At 41.3% G+C, this 18325-nt stretch overlaps 1 protein-coding gene and 1 long non-coding RNA gene across 5 annotated transcripts in view, besides 2 other annotated features; one reads left to right on the forward strand and one right to left on the reverse strand.

Moving 5' to 3' along the window:
- Positions 1-18325, reverse strand: part of ADAMTS18 (ADAM metallopeptidase with thrombospondin type 1 motif 18) — a 152907-nt gene that overhangs the window by 6109 nt on the left and 128473 nt on the right. For 3 of the 4 annotated variants that reach the window (NM_199355.4, NM_001326358.2, XM_047433673.1), the window contains 6 exons: positions 12027-12168; positions 9053-9179; positions 6687-6891; positions 4840-5022; positions 3030-3242; positions 1028-1175 (listed from right to left, as the gene is read on the reverse strand). In NM_199355.4, coding sequence (NP_955387.1) covers positions 1028-1175; positions 3030-3242; positions 4840-5022; positions 6687-6891; positions 9053-9179; positions 12027-12168 — 1018 coding nt within the window. The remainder of the gene's footprint in view (positions 1-1027; positions 1176-3029; positions 3243-4839; positions 5023-6686; positions 6892-9052; positions 9180-12026; positions 12169-18325) is intronic. The other variant, XM_047433672.1, reaches the window with a different exon arrangement.
- Positions 837-2036: an enhancer, noted in NCBI's record as "CDK7 strongly-dependent group 2 enhancer chr16:77322970-77324169 (GRCh37/hg19 assembly coordinates)". NCBI's record gives its function as "activates an origin of replication core promoter dependent on BRD2, BRD4, P300/CBP, MED14 and CDK7 cofactors, with strong dependence on CDK7, by STARR-seq in HCT116 cells {active_cell/tissue: HCT116}" and the evidence as "EXISTENCE:reporter gene assay evidence [ECO:0000049][PMID:35650434]".
- On the forward strand, positions 1040-13726 carry LOC124903727 (uncharacterized). Its single transcript, XR_007065122.1, has 2 exons — positions 1040-1219; positions 10654-13726. It is a non-coding gene; the product is annotated as an uncharacterized LOC124903727 (long non-coding RNA).
- Positions 14208-14377: an enhancer, noted in NCBI's record as "experimental_45289 CRE fragment used in MPRA reporter constructs". NCBI's record gives its function as "activates a minimal promoter by MPRAs in K562 erythroleukemia cells, with activity observed for the non-introgressed 16:77336426 variant allele {active_cell/tissue: K562}" and the evidence as "EXISTENCE:reporter gene assay evidence [ECO:0000049][PMID:34662402]".

Raw genomic sequence — 18325 nt, forward strand, 5'->3', positions numbered from 1 at the left:
GGTGCTGGTGGCCTTCTAGGCTGAATCTTTCTTTGGTAATTAAGGGTGGAAATGAGAAATCACTGATAGTCTGGAAGAACATGACCGCTTGCTCATTTCTTCCCTATGTAGTATCCCAGCATGGACTAGGATGATCTGGCTCTGAGTAACTGCTACAGAGCTATTTTTTTTTTGGTCTTGTGCAAGATTCTTTAGCACGAGGCAAGCAGATTAGGCTGAAAGATATTTCCTGGCATTTGTCAGATTACTTCAAATAGTGAAGAATGGTACAGTTTACTCAGACTTTCCATTTTCCTATCAGTACTCACTGCACTTCCCTTGAACTAACTTTAAGAAAACATTTAGGTATAGTCCTAGGGCAATACATATTCACTGATGACTATTACTTTTGATTTCTGAATTTTTTATATCTTCAACAAACATGAACATCTTTATATATGGATTATAGTTGTCTCCTCCATTAAAATATGAGCTCCTTGAGGGCTATTGTTGTTCACCTTTATGTTCCCATTTTCAAATTAATAATGGTTAAAAAGCATTATTGTAGCAATTAAATATTCCCTTCAGACCCATGCAAACAAGATCACTAGGATAGGCTGGGCATGTGGCTTGTGACAGTAAACCCAGAACTTGAGGCCAGGAGTTCGAGATCAGCCTGGCCAACATGGTGAAACCCTGTCTCTACTAAAAATTCAAAAATTAGCCAGGCGTGGTGGTGCACACCTATAATCCCAGCTACTCAGGAGGCTGAGGCAGGAGAATGGCATGAACCCGGGAGGCAGAGGTTACAGTGAGCTGTGTACTCCCACCTGCATGACAGACTGAGACTGTCTGAAAAAGATTATTTGGACAGCAACTTCCCCAGAGTGGTGCCTTATACAACTCCAGGGAGCACTGTCACATAGACTTCGGGTGAATGGCTTACCCTAGAGTTGTACAATGTCACAGGCTGCACTACTAACAAAGTAGCCTTTGAAAAAATTATCTAAAGACTAGTAAAGTTGACTGGAGCATGGTGCCTTTTTACCTCTCTTTTCAGGAGCTGGACAGAAGTTTGTATTACAGGCTCGTAGCACCGGAGGTTTCTGATGGAGCAGACAACTTGAGGAAGGCCGGCCTTGCTGAACACAGTGGACTGACCGGGTCTGGACCCCTCCCCCACAGGTGACTGTGCACTGCAGCAGAGAGAAGAGGAAGGAGTCAGAAACACTCTACTGAGGTCAGTGACATCAAACAGAAGGAATTCCCATGCTTCATGACATTAACAAGATGCCTGCTGATGAAACAGATTGGCTGGAGCCAGGCACATGTGCTTACAGTCCACAGCATCTATCCTAACAAGTGTGATCCCTTTGATCTGATTAGAAGGGTTTTAGGCAAATGCTATCTATCTAGCCCAAGAGTGTGTGTCTCCCAGTTAAGTGACTCACTCATAAAGAAGAGAAGCTCCAGAAATACAGAAGCTGCTCTAAGAATGCAGAAACAAATACAGACACACCTAGGGAGTTAATCACAGGATTTAAAGAATTCCAGACAATCTGTGCAGCTGCAGTAGTGGAGGACATAGTTCAAAACTGGGACAGAAAAAGAAATGGTCAGAGACAGCTCTGGAATTAGGTCCTCGGTGCCCAGCCACATTCTGAGTTGGCATGACAGAGTTGGTGCTTCTTAGGAGTCGCTGATTTCAGTGTGCAATTAAAAATTTTCAAAAGTAGACAACTCAACTGTCTTTCTTCCAGACAGCCATATGAAAAATTTATAAAGATACTTCATAACAAAAGGAAAACCAGGGAAAAATGTAGCCCTTTAAATGGATTTTTCTTATTTTAAAAAGTTACTACATTAATTTTTCTTAAATGTACATATGCATTATAATTGACTGTAGTTTCTGTCTCAATTAAAATTTAAGGGCAAGTCTTGTTATCAAATTATCTAAACTAGGAGTTTGTAAACTTTTCCTTTAAAGGGGAAGATAGATAGTAAATATTTCAGGCTGTATAGGCATACGGCCTCTGTTGCAAGTACTCCTCACTGCCGTTGTAGCACTAAAGCAGCTGTGGTCAATATATTAAGCAAATGAACATGGCTACATTCCAGTTAAACTTTATAAAAACAGGCAGGTATTGGGGGAGCAGATTTGGCTGGGTGGCAACTGTTTGCTGACCCCTTAATCTAAATAAACTTATTAGAGTCAATTTTAAAAAGAAATCCCCAGCAATATGTGTAACACCTAGCACAATGCCTGGCCAGAGAAAATCAGGCTAATTTCCTTTCCTCTCATCCATGTGTTGGTTTCCAGATCCTCCCAGATAGATAACGTACGTACATATTGATACCTCTACCCGGACTCTGTGATTAATGGTGAGGTGGGGAGCACCCGAGTCCTCTGAACTGAACAGCTGTGCAGCAACATCTGCTGGGTGGAATGCTGGAAGGACCGCGTCACACACCAATCCTAGCTAAAGTTTCACCCAAGTCTTCTGAAAAGAAGGGTGCCTCTAGCATCTGATAAGTTTAAAAGCGAAGTATCCTTGGCTGAATTGCCTGACATTCTGAGCTTTAGGGACCATACTACCCCTGAATAGGAGTACTTAGCACCGTGCATAGTAATAGCTTGACAAATATTAGCTATTACATTGTTCAGAAACATGATGTAAGAACCAAATGAGTAAAGGCTGTGAGCAGCATTTCTAAAACAGAAAGACTCGAGTGGTAGTTTCCGTAGCAACAGCAATGACCAACATTAGCAGTGTATAACTGGCCTGGTGGTAAGTGTTTTACATACATTTTCTGATGAACAAAAACAAATCAACTCTCCCAGATAATGATTTTCTAGATGTGAAAACTGAGGTTTACAGATTGTTACCTGCCCAGGGCCAAAGAACAAAACCCATTCTGCCTTCAGAACTTGAGCCCTTAGTTGTTTTTACTTAGACAACCATTAACAGACTAAGAGCAACTGTTTGCAGAACGCCTCATTTTTCGACATCTCACTTGAATAGACACCTCCTCAATCGGCCTGTACCCACCTGCTGCCACGGCAATGAATACCATCCAGCTACCATGTTGTACACTGGATGGGCTGGGCAAGCCCGTCGGTTGCAGGTCTCTTCCAAGTCCAGATTTGGTTTCTTAATATTACGGCATCTTCGCTCTGGGAAAGTTATCAGCTTTCCCTGGAAGCCCTTCTCGCTGCACTTCATCTCCCTCTTCCTCACACCCAAACCACAGGTTGCAGAACACTAGGAGCCAAGACAGGATGTGTAAAAGTGAAGACTGCCAGGATCACATCTTCTGGACAGAGGCAGTTTGACATAAGGTTGCACCATCCACATGAAATAGGAGGGATGGGATTACACAAGGTCAACCACACTCACTCGAGGATCTTACAGATACAGCAGCCAAGTACCTCATGCTATAGGTAAGGAAACCAAAGTTCAGAGAACGGAACTGACTTTCCCAAAATCACACAGATCATTAGCCTCATAAAGTAAAAAAGGAACCTTGGGATGCCACATGGGTGTGAGATGGAGTCCAGGAGAAAGGCAAGATGGGCAAAAGAATTTCCAGGTTTAGGGTTACACACTTACAGGTCCAGGTCTACCTAAGGCCTGAGGAGTTAGGAATCTGAGTTGAAGAGGGTAAGGGCCAGAGAAAAGGATTCAGAGCTTAATGGGAAAAACCACTGTACAGCAAATAATTGCTCTTTAAATATACCCAACCTCTCACACACAGGAGGTAACATGATGAGGGTCAAAAGTATCCTTTTAGGAAAAATATCCTTTTAGGCTGGGTGCAGTGGCTCAGGCCTGTAATCACAGCAGTTTGGAAGTCTGGGGCAGGTGGATCACTTGAGCCCAGGAGTTCAAGACCAGCCTCAGCAACATGGTGAAGCCTCAGCAACATGGTGAAACCACATCTCTATAAAAATTAGCCAGGTATAGTGGTGCATGCCTCTAGTCCGAGGCAGCAGATTACCTGAGCGAGGGAGGTGGAGGCTGCAGTGAGCTGAGATTTTGCCACTGCACTCTAGGACAACAGAGCAAGACCCTGTCTCAAAAATAAAAAATTTACTCCCCAGTATTTGTGAGAGATATTTCTAGTGTGTCACCCAAGGCCCTCATGATTTTTCCACCCCATCCCATGTCCCTTCTTTACTAAATGTGCAGTCCCCTGTCATCACTCCTGTGTAGAGGCTGCACCCTCTGTCTGGGACAACCTTGCCCCAAATCCCCTTTTGCTTTGATTCCTGCTCATTTTTCAGGCCATGCTCCCTAGAAAGTCTCTTCTGACAAGGGTTCTTCCCAAAGACCGGCTTGGGTGAAGCTTGAGCTCTCCCATAAAATGACAGACTTCTATCAAGTCACTTGACGTGTGCTTTCTCTGCGTGTGCTTTATGAAGTCTTGCGCCCCTACTGCCCAGACATAGGCTTGATCAATGTGGGGGTGCTTTAGCAATGTTTCGTGAAGAAATCAGGAGAGAACTGGGAAGTAGCAGGCATTTGGTATCAATGTGTGCAACACAAAGGAGTTTTGTGAGCCTAGATGCTAGCAGGTCAGCTGAGCATCTCAAGAAACCTCCAGCAGTGACTTTTTTTTTTGAGACAGAGTCTCACTCTGTCGCCCAGGCTGGAGTGCAGTGGCGCAATCTCAGCTCACTGCAAACTCCGCCTCCTGGGTTCACGCCATGCTCCTGCCTCAGCCTCCCCAGTAGATCAGACTACAGGCGCCTGCCACCTTGCCTGGCTAATTTTTTGTATTTTTAGTAGAGACAGGGTTTCACTGTGTTAGCCAGGATGGTCTCAATCTCCTGACCCAGCAGTGACTTCTAATCCATACCTCGCTCCACGAAGAAGCGACCCACTGTAGCCGGCTGTTCTTGGGGCATCGTCCAAGCACACAGCCCTCCTGCAGCTCAGGTCTGGGGAGACTGGTACACTGGCTCTCGGGGAGGGTTTCTGCGGCAGAGCCCTTGCAGAGGAGTTCACGCTTCCTCACCCCTCGTCCACAGGTCTTGGAACACTTGAGAAGACAAAAAAGTTCTATTTGCATTCCCATTAGGTTTCAGTAGCCACATTAAAAAAAAAAACAACACACTAAATATATTCCTGTGAAAGGTGGGATAAACTCCATGAACTAAAGCTCTTTTTACGAGATCTACTTAACCACCCCCATTCCCATTACCCACCATACATATCTGGCTAAAACAATTATTTGAATTCTTTCTGTAAATTATATTGCTAACTGCAAAGAAAGAGACTAGACTCAACACCATGTACTATTTAGATTTACCCTCTGCTATAAAGGAATATATTCTCTCATTTGAAAGAACCCCTAAACAAGCTCAAAAATATTCTCTCTCCCTCCTGACCCCTAATTCCCTAACGTATCAGTCTCCAATTTCTTTGGCACCAGGGTCGGCTTTTGCAGAACACTGTATTTCCATGGACGGGCAGGGTGGTGCTTTGGGGATAAAACTGTTCCACCTCAGATCATCACGCATGAGATTCTCATAAGTAACATGCATCCTAGATCCGTCACCTGTGCAGTTCACAACAGGGTTCAAACTCCTCTGAGAACCTAACGCTGCCACTGATTTGACAGGAGGTGGAGTTTAGTCTGTGATGCTGGCCTGCTGCTCATCTCCTGCTGGGCAGCCCAGTTCCTTACAGACCACAAACAGGTACTTGTTCATGACCTGGGGGTTGGGGACCCTTGTGCTAACAGATATGTCCTAACATTAAAAAATAAAGCCCTACTCTGACCTCTGGTAGTGTATTGCTGAAATTAATCAGAAAGCAGCACCCTCCAGCATGTAATATACGCTAAAGGAAAACACAGAAGAACTGTCATCAGTGGCTGCTACCTGGCCCCATGGTTCAGGTGGTAAAACTCTTGCCGTTTTTTCATTCTTCCCCATAATTTGTTTGCCAGCAGTGATTGAGCAGTGGTTGAGCTATCATCTGCAAGGGAAGCTGTAGGGAAGGGCTTCTTCCCTTCAGCACCACTGACATTTTGGATCAGATAATTCTTTGTGGTGAGGAGCTGGCCTGGGCTGTGTAGGACATTCACCTCTACCCACTAGATGCCAGGAGCACTCATCTCCCCAAGTTGTGACATCAAAATGTCTCCTGGTAGGCAAACTTACCCACGGTTGAGAACCTTTGCTTTAGAGGGAATTCTGAGCTGTGAACGACAAGGTAGCTCTCTGTCCCTTCTAACTTTAAAATTTTATGGCTTTCACTGGGAATTTGTGACCATAGCAAACTTTATGCCCTACTTTTCTCTGTATTCTTCTAACTTTACCTCTTTCCCATTGAAGCAAGAGTTAAATATCTCTTCGATGCTTCATTCTTTGTATTTGCGTTTCCCATTTGCTTTGGAGAATTCAGTAGCCAGTCTTCTGATACTGGAATCCTTTCTAGCTGTGCTCACGAGTCTGGCCTAAATGGCCCCCACACTCCAATTTCTGTTCCTCTAAGGAGGATTCTAAGCTCTGGGAGAGGGGTGCCAAAACTTCAGATTTCCTAAAGAACATTAGTTAAAATGCAGATTCCCAGGCACATGAACTCAGGGTGATTTCCATGAACATGTAAACTGCCAAGAGCCCAGTGGAGAGCAAAGACACCTCTACTTTTGCCTTCATGGGGACCGAGAATAGTAACTCCCAAGTTTTCTCCTGTTACCTGAGACCAGGGTCCAAGGCTCCATTGTGGAGGGCAGGCATGGCTGTTGCAGGCTTGGACCTGAGTGGGTGTGCTCACTGGACAGAGAGAATGCAACACTGCTTCCTCCTTTTGGAAGGGCTTCTTTTGCACACACTGGATCTTTCGGCTCTGCTGGCCTCCAGCACAGGCCTTGCTGCATGTACTCCATTCACCTGGCATCCAGCTTTCAGTGCAAAACAAACATTACCAATGAAGCCAAACTTTGTATGATAACTTCCAAAGCAGTTACTGTGAAAGGTAAACCACCTATGGAAGCCATGAATCAATTTCAGAACCAATAAGATAAGTTATTCTAATTGTTCTTTGAGGGATCCAGAGGCTTATACTAATGTGATTGAGATATAAATAATCACATTTAATCATCCCACAGTTCTACAAATATACTCCCGCCTCTGCATGAGAAGAAATACATGCCACTTTAAAATCTGCACAATTCATTGAGCCAAATTTGTTGGGATTTTAACTATGTGTCAGGGACTCTCCTAAGCATTAGGATTAGAAAAATTAAGGCAGCAGCCTTCTTTCCATTAAGGAGCCTATAACACAGTAAAGAGGTGGATATGTGAACAAATAAAGACAGTACTTTCTGATAAGTGCTGCAATGGAAGTCAACATAAAATACAATGAGGAGGCTCATGGAACAGTCATCAATGAGAGAGAAAGAGAGGGAGGTTTGTGCAGGAGAGAGGGGTACATTTAGAGAAGGTCTCACAGAGGATATTTTTAAGTGGGTACTTCCCCAAATTACTTTTCTGATTACACCTGAATTTAGTGATAGGTTAAATACCTACCTTCATTTTCTTTAAAATTTGCCAGACCAGTTTTTTTTTAATAGCTATCTGTCTGAGACTTGGTATATATTTGAACGGTTATCAATTGAAACTTTTTTTGTTTTTGAGATGGAGTCTTGCTCTTGTTGCCCAGGCTGGAGTGCAATGGCTCGATCTCAGCTCACTGCAACCTCTGCCTCCCAGGCTCAAGTGATTCTCCTGCCTCAGCCTCAGATTATGACAAATGCACTATTATTTACAAGAAAAAAAAAAGTGTGTGTGTGTATATATATATACACACACATATACGCACATCTTTATATATAAAGATTGTGTAATACGATTGCATCACCACAAACCAAACACTACTTATGAAGATGATCTAAAACATTGGTGAATGCAACACTGCTTTAGAAGAAACTCCCATCCATTTTATATAAATATATTTGGCAGAAGATAAATCACATGAAAGAGACTCCCTTTAACTGGGAAGATTACTTAAAATTAGTCTTCAAACAATAGTGTGGCTAAAGTCAATCCAAGAACAAACTCACTGAGCCCCTCCAAGGCTGCCATCATCAGCGGTGGAGTTACCACTTGGCCTATACCCCATTCTTTTTATTTTGTGTCTTGCTACTGTGTAATTTTGCATTTGGGGTTTCATGGCCCGCATAATATTATGATTTTTAAATTCTTGGACCATTTACAAAAAAGTTAGGCACACAACCGCACGCAAATTGAACTAATTTAGGATTCTGTGTTATTTAAATATCTGTCTGATTCCATTCAGAGAAGAGGAATCCCTATGCAAAGGTTAAAAGAAAAAAGCACCTCACGCCTGTAATGCCAGAACTTTGGGATGCTGAAAACAGGCAGATCACTTGAGGCCAGCCTGGCCAACATGGCAAAACCCCGTCTCTACTAAAAATACAACAATTAGCTAGGTGTGGTGACGTGCACCTGTAATCCCAGCTACTAAGGTGGCTGAGGCACAATAATTGCTTGAATCCAGTAGGCAGAGGTGGCAGTGAGCTATCATGAGGCCACTGTACTCCAGCCTGGGCAACAGAGTGAGACTCCTTGTTCCTCCTCCCCTCCAAAAAAAAAGAGGTCTTCATATCCCAAGCAAGCTTGCTTTTAAATAGCCAGTAAATTTATTCCTGGCTATCAAGCCAAAGTCAAGTGAGTACCAAAAGTAAATTTGTATTTTTCAACTCAAATGTAAACTTCAACCATCTTTTTTAAAAAAATTTCTTTTAGAGACAAGATCTCACTCTTTCACCCAGGCTAATATGTAAGTGGCACAATCATGACTCACTGGAGCCTGGAACTCCTGGGTTCTACTGATCTTCCCTCTTCAGCCTCCCAAGTAGCTAGGACCACACACGTGCCACCATGCCTAGCTCATCATCTTCTATTACTTTTTAAAGTATTGCGTCTACCTTTGAATCACTTTCCATTAGCAGTATTCACAGTGAGCTTTCATCATCTCATAACAACAATGAAGGCATACAAGTACAAAACTAAACAAAAAGACACTTCCAAATGACTTACTAAGCCGGGCAGGAGAAAGCGTTGCAGATTTTGGGCTCAGTTACTGGCTTGGTTTTTGCACTGCAGAATGAGGAATTGACTTGAGTATTTTGATCTCGCAAGCAAATGGCCTTTACATTTATGTAACCTGGTAAGACATCAGAAGTGACAAAGTGAAAATTACAGATTATTATTTCAATTTGGTTCTAAGTTTAGCTTCTGATTTACCAGCATTGTGATATTTTATTTCAGATATGGAATCCAAATATTTTGTGGAACGCTTCCTTTTGATGAAATTTGCAACTAATTTGAATTCCATTCCCCTCCCTAAAATAATATATTTTATATTTTAATAATTGTAACATGTAGATTATTGGTTTTCAAGACTGATGTGGATACTAGAACCATAAATTGATAAATACAACCTTTTGAAAACAGAATGACTATAAAGGGTAACATCCCAGGCAAACTTTATTATCAGATTAATGTTCTTCAAAGAAAAACCATTCGTGAGTTATATATGGAAACCCTAAGATTTTGCCTTAACATGAAATATCTCATACTTCTTAAGAGCATGGGGCACATAAAAGCAAAGAGTAGAACTCACTAAATATGTATTAAAACCTATCAGCCAGGGCTCTGCTTTTGCTTTTTTTTTTTTTTTTTTTTTTTTTTGAGATGGAGTCTCATTCTGTCGCCCAGGCTGGAGTGCAGTGGCGTGATCTTGGCTCACTGCAACCTCTGCCTCCCGGGTTCAAGCGATTCTCCTGCCTCAGCCTCCCAGATACCTGGGATTACAGGTGTGTGACACCATACCCAGCTAATTTTTGTATTTTTAGTAGAGACGGCCATGTTAGTCAGGCTGGTCTTGAACTCCTGACCTCAGTGATTCACCGGCCTCAGCCCCCAAAGTGCTGGTATTATAGTCATGAGCCACTGCACCCGGCCTCTGCTTTTGCTTCCTTAGTGGCATCCCACTGCCTTGCTTTCAACATTAATTTCAGGACTTCTTATCAGGGGCATATATTTTTTTAAAAATGTGTGAATAATTGTATTTTTTAGTTCCCCAAATAGAGATGCTGCCTCCCCTTTGAATTGTGTTTTTTATTTACATTGGAACTTTGTCTTCAAATATAATCTGAGAAAGAATAAGTCACTCCTGCTATAATGATTAGCAGTTAGTCCAGCTCCTGGGGCTGAAGCAGGTTTGCTTTCAGGAGGCACTTACGAAAACCACATCAAGGCCGGGCACGATGGCTCACACTGATAATCCCAGCACTTTGGGAGGTCAAGGAAGGCGGACTGCTTGAGGCCAGGAGTTTGACACCAGCCTGGGCAACATGGCAAAACCCCATCTCTATAAAAAAGAAAAAAACGGGCCAGGCATAGTGGCAGGCACCTGCAGTCCAAGCTACTTAGGACGGTGAGGTAGGAGGATGGCTTGAGCCCCAGAGGTCGAGGCAGCAGTGAGCCGTAATTGTGCTACTGCATTCCAGCCTGGGTGACAGAGTGAGATCCTATCTCAAGAAAAAATAACAAAAACAAAAAATCAACATTCCTTGAAGTTAACCGTTGACTTTAATAGGACTTATTCATCTGAATTCTTTTTCTCTTGGACACAGGACACACCAGGGTCTGTGAGTCATGCGAAGGGGTTGCTAAGGCAGGGCAAGGCGAGAATTTCACAACTGGCTTCCTCTGCATCCTCCTCTTGGCTGGATTTAGATTCTGTAAGTGGAAAGCAAATCAAACTTCTCTCCTTCCCAAGGCACTGTGCTCTCCCTGGAATACCAGAAAGCTATTGGAAATGTTCTCAAGAAACACTGGATATGAGAAAGACCTCATAATCTGTGACTAAATGAAACAGTGTGAAGAGATGTCTATAACATGATTTCAGTACAGAGGGATACAAAATGATACTCACGGTATGTGAGTCTGTCAAACACATGTTTGCTTACATGTGCCTAGGGAAACAAATGATATAGATCAAAATATTAACATTGGCTATTGCCTGTTTACAAATTATGGGGATTACCTTTCTTCTTAATAGCCCATTGCTTTTAAAATGGGTATTACTAGAAAATGTATTACCTTTTAATTATTTTATATATGTATCCTAAAAAAGTATTTTTTCATACTTTGTTAATTAGCATGGACCTACAGATAGGCCTTTCAGACATAAGAATTTCTTCATTTTCTGTATCTTTGCTCTGTCTCTGATTCTAAGCCTTATTATGCTTAGTGGGATGGAACCAGTAGGAAGTCTCACTGTCACCAGGTGCTCTGAATAATAGGAAATGAGAGACCAACATTCATGCTGTGGTTTCAGGAACTTATTTTGGGCACTTGTTCTTCCTCCCAAATGAGCAAGTGTGACAATGGTTTAACCCCCAAATATGTGACATTGTTCACATCTAAATAAAACGCCTTCCTTCTACTCACCCAGTAGATGGTTGCTGTTGTTCCTTCCTTGCAAGGGTTGTCTCAGATTTAATCCATTCCTCTAGTGAGAGAACCTTTGCTGACCTTACCCCTGAGGGGATATCCATGTTTCAGATAGACATCTTAAGTTTGCCATGTATGCGTCCTCACTTGCCTTGACCCTAGCTTTTATAACTTCCAAATGGAAGGTTAATAATGACAGAAAAGCCAAGACTGGCGGAAACTAAAAGCTGAAAATTAAACATATATATATAATATAAATATGCTTCTATTTGTAAATAATTCAATATATTTTATATGTTTTTCCCATAAGTTTTAGATGTGTAACTTTTGAGCCTTGGTTGTGGTTGATTTGAGCTTTGTGAGAGTTGATTCCTTACCACATAGGAAAACCCTTAACTAATGCCATAATATTTGCTTTTATGGTGATGGTTCTCATAAAAGACAGTTCTTGGGTGGCTTATTTAAACCATATTATGTTAAAGACGCCTGGAGTGAAAGAACCTGTTTTAAGAGAGACAGACTTTGGAGACAGAATGAGAAAATCATCTACCTCCACCACAGGAGACGGAGCACTCTGACTGCACGATACTCCAGGTATAGGCAGGTCTTTTTGTGGCTGGTGGAGTTCCATTCATGACCTTGGGAAGTGCATACTTCCAAGCTATCCCTGGATTTTTGCCTTGCATCAGAATCTGGACAGTGTAAGATAAAAATCAGAGATCAAGATACAGGTCAGACCCTGGAATTCCAGAAATCTTACTGAACATTTTAAAGATATTTACATGACATTTTGACCTTAACATTGGTATACTTCATTGTTCCCAAGTATGTTTTATGTTGACTTAAAGCTTTCCCAGGACACTTTAAAATGTGTCCCTTCATGTTATCAAAACTGTGATTTAGGTAGATGCTAAAGAGCAAAACACGATTGACATTTGCCATAAGCCCATAACGTATACACAAACACATACATACACACACACACTCACACACATATATGTATCATAAAGAAGAAAGAAAGGTTATACTGTTGGGTCTAAACCCTAACTTAAAAACCTAGCATGGTGAACACACATAGTCGTACCCTACAGAAAATAGTTAAAACTGAATCTACATATATATATTTTTATGATCTATCCTAGGTCACAATTTACAAGCTCTCTCCTGGGTGCTAGTGGAAGTTGAAACAAGGGAAACACTCCAAAACCCACAGAATACCCCCACTTAGAGTTGCTATCATCAACTTCAGAATCCAAATGTGTTTCCAATATACTTTCCATAGAAAATTTTCCCAAAGAGAATTTGTTAACTGTGTGCTAGGATGAGCAGATAAGAAGAAAAGAAACATGTTCAGAATCAGCAATTGGAATACATGCATTAGAATAGACTTAACCTCCAAAAAGGCAACAACTTAGGATAAATCTGATCCCATAAAGTCTGACTACTAAAATAAGAGCAATCACATATTGGGCACTTCCCAAGTGCCAAGCACTCTGCAGCCATTCTTAATGCATCATAAAACATTCTTCTAACAACTCTATAATGTAGCTGCCTATATTTTCATTGAAAAAAAAAAAAACTGGAGAGAAAGAACTTGTGCAAGATCACACAAGTGACTAGGGACTGAGCTTAAGTAAAGCCACCAACCAAAATGTGCCTACACAATGCAATGTATCACCTTGTTTTTGATGTAGGAAAAGCATCTGTCTGCCTTCTTAATGCCCTCTTAACTACTCCTCTTTCTTCTTTTTTCTTTTCCAAGCTGAAAGCATGAATATAAATAGCTGGTTCTTTCCCACTCCATGAATCTTGTGGAAAATTCTTTACCACTAGAACTGGGCATTCATGCCCAAGAGGCAAAGCTGATTGCCAGTTAAAAAATAGGAACCCCTGGCTCTGTCTCCCTCGGGTGGGATCCCACCTCCATTAGAGTTTGGTGGGTGGCAGCTGTTCAAGGCCCTTCATTTCACCAGATCACTCTTTAGGATGGTACAAAATGACTTCTATTTTGCTACTGGCTTAAATGTCTCCAGGAGTATTATGACTAACTCTTAAGATTCCATGGTGTACACATCAGTTTGTAGAGCAACAAAACAAATCTCGATGCCTCCTAGAAATAATCAAATGTTAATAGATGGATCTGTGTTCCCCCATCCAAAACCAAATCAATACAAAACACAACAGGTAGTACCATTACATGAACAAATGCCCAGTTATCAGTTGCCAATAAAAAAAAATCTTGAAATCAAAGTCTTAGGAGTCTTTTATTTTGAAGATCTTTCTAGTCTTTGCTTTTTTTTTTTTTTTTTTTTTAACTTTCGCAGCTAAGTCATACAGCTGTTCTTGGAACCCTGTGTTCAACTTAACACAACATTTCACACATGTTGAATAAATACTATGCTTTCCTTATTTCCACAGTATTTTTGAATAAATAGTATGCTTTCCTGCAGTGTTTCTGTTAATGTTTTCATCTGATATTAAGTAAATACAGAAACTTTACAGTTTTATTCATGGTCAAACTAGAATTGTGAGAGCAGTTTTACATTCAGAAGATGATCCTGATGCTGGTTAATAATTCAATTTCATATTCGGTTAAAGCAGTATTTCAAATGTAGCACTTATTTTGCCTTTTTTTTATGCAACAAAAATGCAGAGACCTTGTACCACAGAAAATTATGCACTGTACCGTATTTACTTGTGTGGCAATACAATGTGAGTGCAATGCATAAGAGTTACAGTGCGCTAAGGCCCACAAGGCAGAATGGTATTGCAGTACAAAGAGGTCGCATCACACACATACGCACATAGTAGGGGCAAGCTTAAGTATAAATGCTATACAGAAAGAAATTAACTTACTCAACTGCACTTTCTAGTATCACCCCATTCCTCCCATTCAAACTAGATCCTAATATTTTCTGCCATAGGGGAACAGATCCCCAATAAAAACGCAAAGAAAATATAAAAGAACATTAGTTCTTGCCTTTTGAGCTTCTAGGACTTATGTTCTGCTGATTAAAAAAGTAGTTTGACAAATTTTCAACAGACATTTGAAATATATTCCCCTTTCACCTTTTAGACAGATTCTAGAGCCTAAGCCATACATGGCCTGTGGTTTCACTGCAAAACATTTTTAAATGTTGCTGTGAACAGCAGGATGTGTTCAAGAAAAAAAAATGTGTTTAAGAAAAAGACTGTGATGATAAAAGTGTCACCAGTATTAAGCAAAAACAACCACATGTCAAGCTTCCCCAGACCTTCACTCAAGCCAACCATACAAAATTATCAATGCAACCAACAAGAAGGGAACTCACACAATCTCCCATTGTCAAATGTTTCTCTGTGTCTGTATCCGTATCCTCCTCTTCCTCCCCTGCTGTCACTCAGGATGCCCTGTCCTGGCTCCAAGTCCAAGTTCTTTACTACACACTGATTCCATCTCCCCTCATCTCCACCAGGATGTGACCACCGTAGTTGCCCCACGTATGGCTACTGAGTGCTTGAAATGCACTCGTGTGGTTGAAGTCAAAAGCCTTTTAATTTAAATAACCATGTGTGACTAATGGCTACCATACTGGATGCATGGCTACGGATGACACCCCGCCTCTGACACCCATCTTCCATACTACATTGTCTACTTGGCATCTCCACTTGAATGCTTAAGAGTATATCAATGTCTAACTTTTTTCTGCCTCCCTGAAAGGCTGCTCATAGGGAATACCCTTCCAGTTGTTTAGGCCAAAATAAAAACTTGGAGCCATTTTAGACTTCTCTTTTTCTGACAGACACTCATATTTAATAGATCAGAAATGGTGTTACTTTAACTTTTATCCTCTCTCATATCTTACCACCTCATATGTTGTTGCTCCTGCCCTGATCTAAGCCACCATCATGTCTCTTGTGACCTCCACGGTCAAGACAATAAAAAAAAAAATGACTTTCGGGAGGGGGAGAAGTGATATCCCCCAGTGGAGAAGATGAGACAGATTCATATATTAAAAAAACACAGTCACAGTTATTTGGGTTAAAAATCAAGTGCTAGGGCCGGACGCGGGGGCTCGCGCCTGTAATCCCAGTACTTTGGGAGGCCGAGGTGGGTGGATCACGAGGTTAGGAGATCGAGACCATTCTAACATGGTGAAACCCCATCTCTACTAAAAATATTAAAAAACAAGCCAGGCCTGGTGGTGGGCACCTGTAGTCCCACCTACTCGGGAGGCTGAGGCAGGAGAAGGGCGTGAACTCAGGAGGCGGAGCTTGCAGTGAGCCGAGATCACGCAACTGCCCTCCAGCCTGGGCGACAGAGCAACACTCCATCTCAAAAAATCAAGTGCTACAGATCCTATAAAAGGAATTGAAATGTTTTAGTAAATCTGAGGTGGGGGAGGAAATCACATTATCATCTAAAGAAGCTTTGTAGCTATCACTTATTAATAACAAATCTCGGTGATGATTATAGCGAAGAAGACACAAAGCAACAAAATTTGAGTTTCTGGCCAGGCACTTTGGGAAGCTGAGGCAGTAGGATCTTTTGAGCTCAGAAGTTCAATATCAGCCTGGGCAACACAGCAAGACCCCATTTCTAAAATAAAATTTTAAAAAACTAGCTAGGTGTTGTAGTGTGTGCCTATAGTCCCAGCTACTTGGGAGGCTGAGGCAGGGGGCTGCTTGAGCTCAGGAGTTGGAAGCTGCAGTGAGCTATAGTCACACCACTGCACTCCAGCCTGGGCCATAGAGTGAGACACTGTCTCAAAAACAAAAACAATCAAATACTTCTGTTTTCTTTGAAGATTTCTATTCCCCCCTCTGAAAAAGACAAACTGTTACACTGTGTTTCCCACATCCCTTTTCCTAAACTTGAAAATGAGGATCCTCAGCAAAGTAAAATCCTTGAACTAAAGGTAAGACCAGCAATGATCAGAATATTAAACAGCAGTAAGGGAACAAATCCATTTCATAATATCATGGTAATACAAAACTCATGTATCTGGCCAAAAGAAAAAGAGAAATAACTTACACAATTTGCTGTACATGTTCTTAGGAACGTGCAGCTTTAAATTAACTCATAAAATACATAGTAGCTATTTGTATGCCTGTGTATGTGTGTTACTATTACAGTTTTATGGCCAGTAGCATATAGAGCATATTGTTTATAGTTTATTTCCTTAACATATTAATGCATTCAATGAATACATAAATGAAGGCCTCTTAACTTTACAAAAATCAAATGACTCAAGGTTTGCCTTTAATGTATGTGTAGCTATAAATTCACATGCAGAGTTCAATGTGTTATCATGTAGACCGAAAGACAATATTTGTACAAACCAGCAGAAAGCTGATGTAAGAATTTACTTAACATCAGCTCGTAAAGGCCTTGTAAAGGAAGTAAAAACTTAAACAAATAAGTACCAAGACAAATATATAAAAGATAAGTATGTGCCAATTGTAGCATATTATTTGCTTCTCAATAAGTAAGATGCTCTTTGCCCCCATCTTTATTCTGTGTTGAGAAGAACAGTGACCAAGAGTATCCTAGAAATCCTCTTATCTCTTACTGTTTGATGCCTGCAAATACTTAAACCTTTGGAGATTATTGTCCACTTGTCTCATAGAATCTCTGTGGGAAAGTTTCTCTTTCACCCTGTTCTTAAAAAAAAATCAGAATTTTCTCAAATCAAATCCACCCTCAAAAACTGCTACATAATTTCTAAAGCCCAGTGCAAAATGAAAATTCAACAGTCATTGTTTGAAAAAATTAAGAATTTCAAGACAGTGACAGTGAAGCATTAAACCAAAGGGCGCTTCTAAGCACAACGTCCTCTGCAGCTGGGCAGGTCCCATGCCCATGAAGCTAGTCCTGCCCAGCTAAATCCAGGTTTTCTCACCTGGATCAGTTTTAAGACACAATTAAAAATTTTTCAAATTCGAAATGACCCTGCAATCTGACAATGACTTCTCTCTCGTTTCATGGTTGGAGAATATAGCCCCCAATTTGGTGGCCTTGATTATATCTCAGCACGTGCTTTAGTGTGTCCATCACCATCAACCAAACCACAGACAGCCTCTCCCACTGATGTGGGGAAACAGGACAACCCTGGAGAGGTGTGCATAGAACCACCTAAGATGCTAACTTCCTCTACGAATGCCAGGGAACACATCTTGGGCAATATGTAACTTGAAAATGATCATTCCCATTGTTCACATTTTAGAACATTTTCGGTGACCATGTCAAGAGTAGTCCATTGCTTTTCTCAGCATTCCTGGAGAACACAAACATGCTCAGGGTACAGGAGCACCGCATCCCTCCCGTAATGGCACCACATCACAATAATGCCATTGCTTACAACCCCGTGCCGCATGTCGGAGTGTATAGCCAAGCTGTTAAATGCACAAATTTGGAAAGACCGCCAGTGATTCAATCTACTTAACTGGACTTAGTCCAGAGAATTTTCCAGCCAACTGGCATGGAGTCTCCAATTTACAGCTGGCAAGCAACCTCCTTAAATGCTTCCAGGTCCTCCATAGAGATGTTTAATGTCTACCTTTAACACACAAACCACCTGACTTCAGACACAACACTCAGCAGCTCTAACCGCAGGGTGCAGAGTTATAAAATTTACAGCTTCTTAAGTTGGAAAACCACAGACAGGGGCTGGAATCTACCAACAACTCTCTGAAGGAAGGGGATGCAGTTTCTGTTTAAGGCACATAAAATTAAAACAAAGGATATCTTCAATAATCACGGGTAAATGATTCTCTTTCTTTCGTCCCCACTTTTAATTTTTAATGTTAAAACTTTTTAAAATTCCTTCAGTCAGCTTTGTATTTGTTTCATTATTTAAGGCCTCTTTT

The sequence above is a fragment of the Homo sapiens genome, chromosome 16 (genome assembly GCF_000001405.40).
Source record: "Homo sapiens chromosome 16, GRCh38.p14 Primary Assembly".
Taxonomy (NCBI): Eukaryota; Metazoa; Chordata; class Mammalia; order Primates; family Hominidae; genus Homo; species Homo sapiens.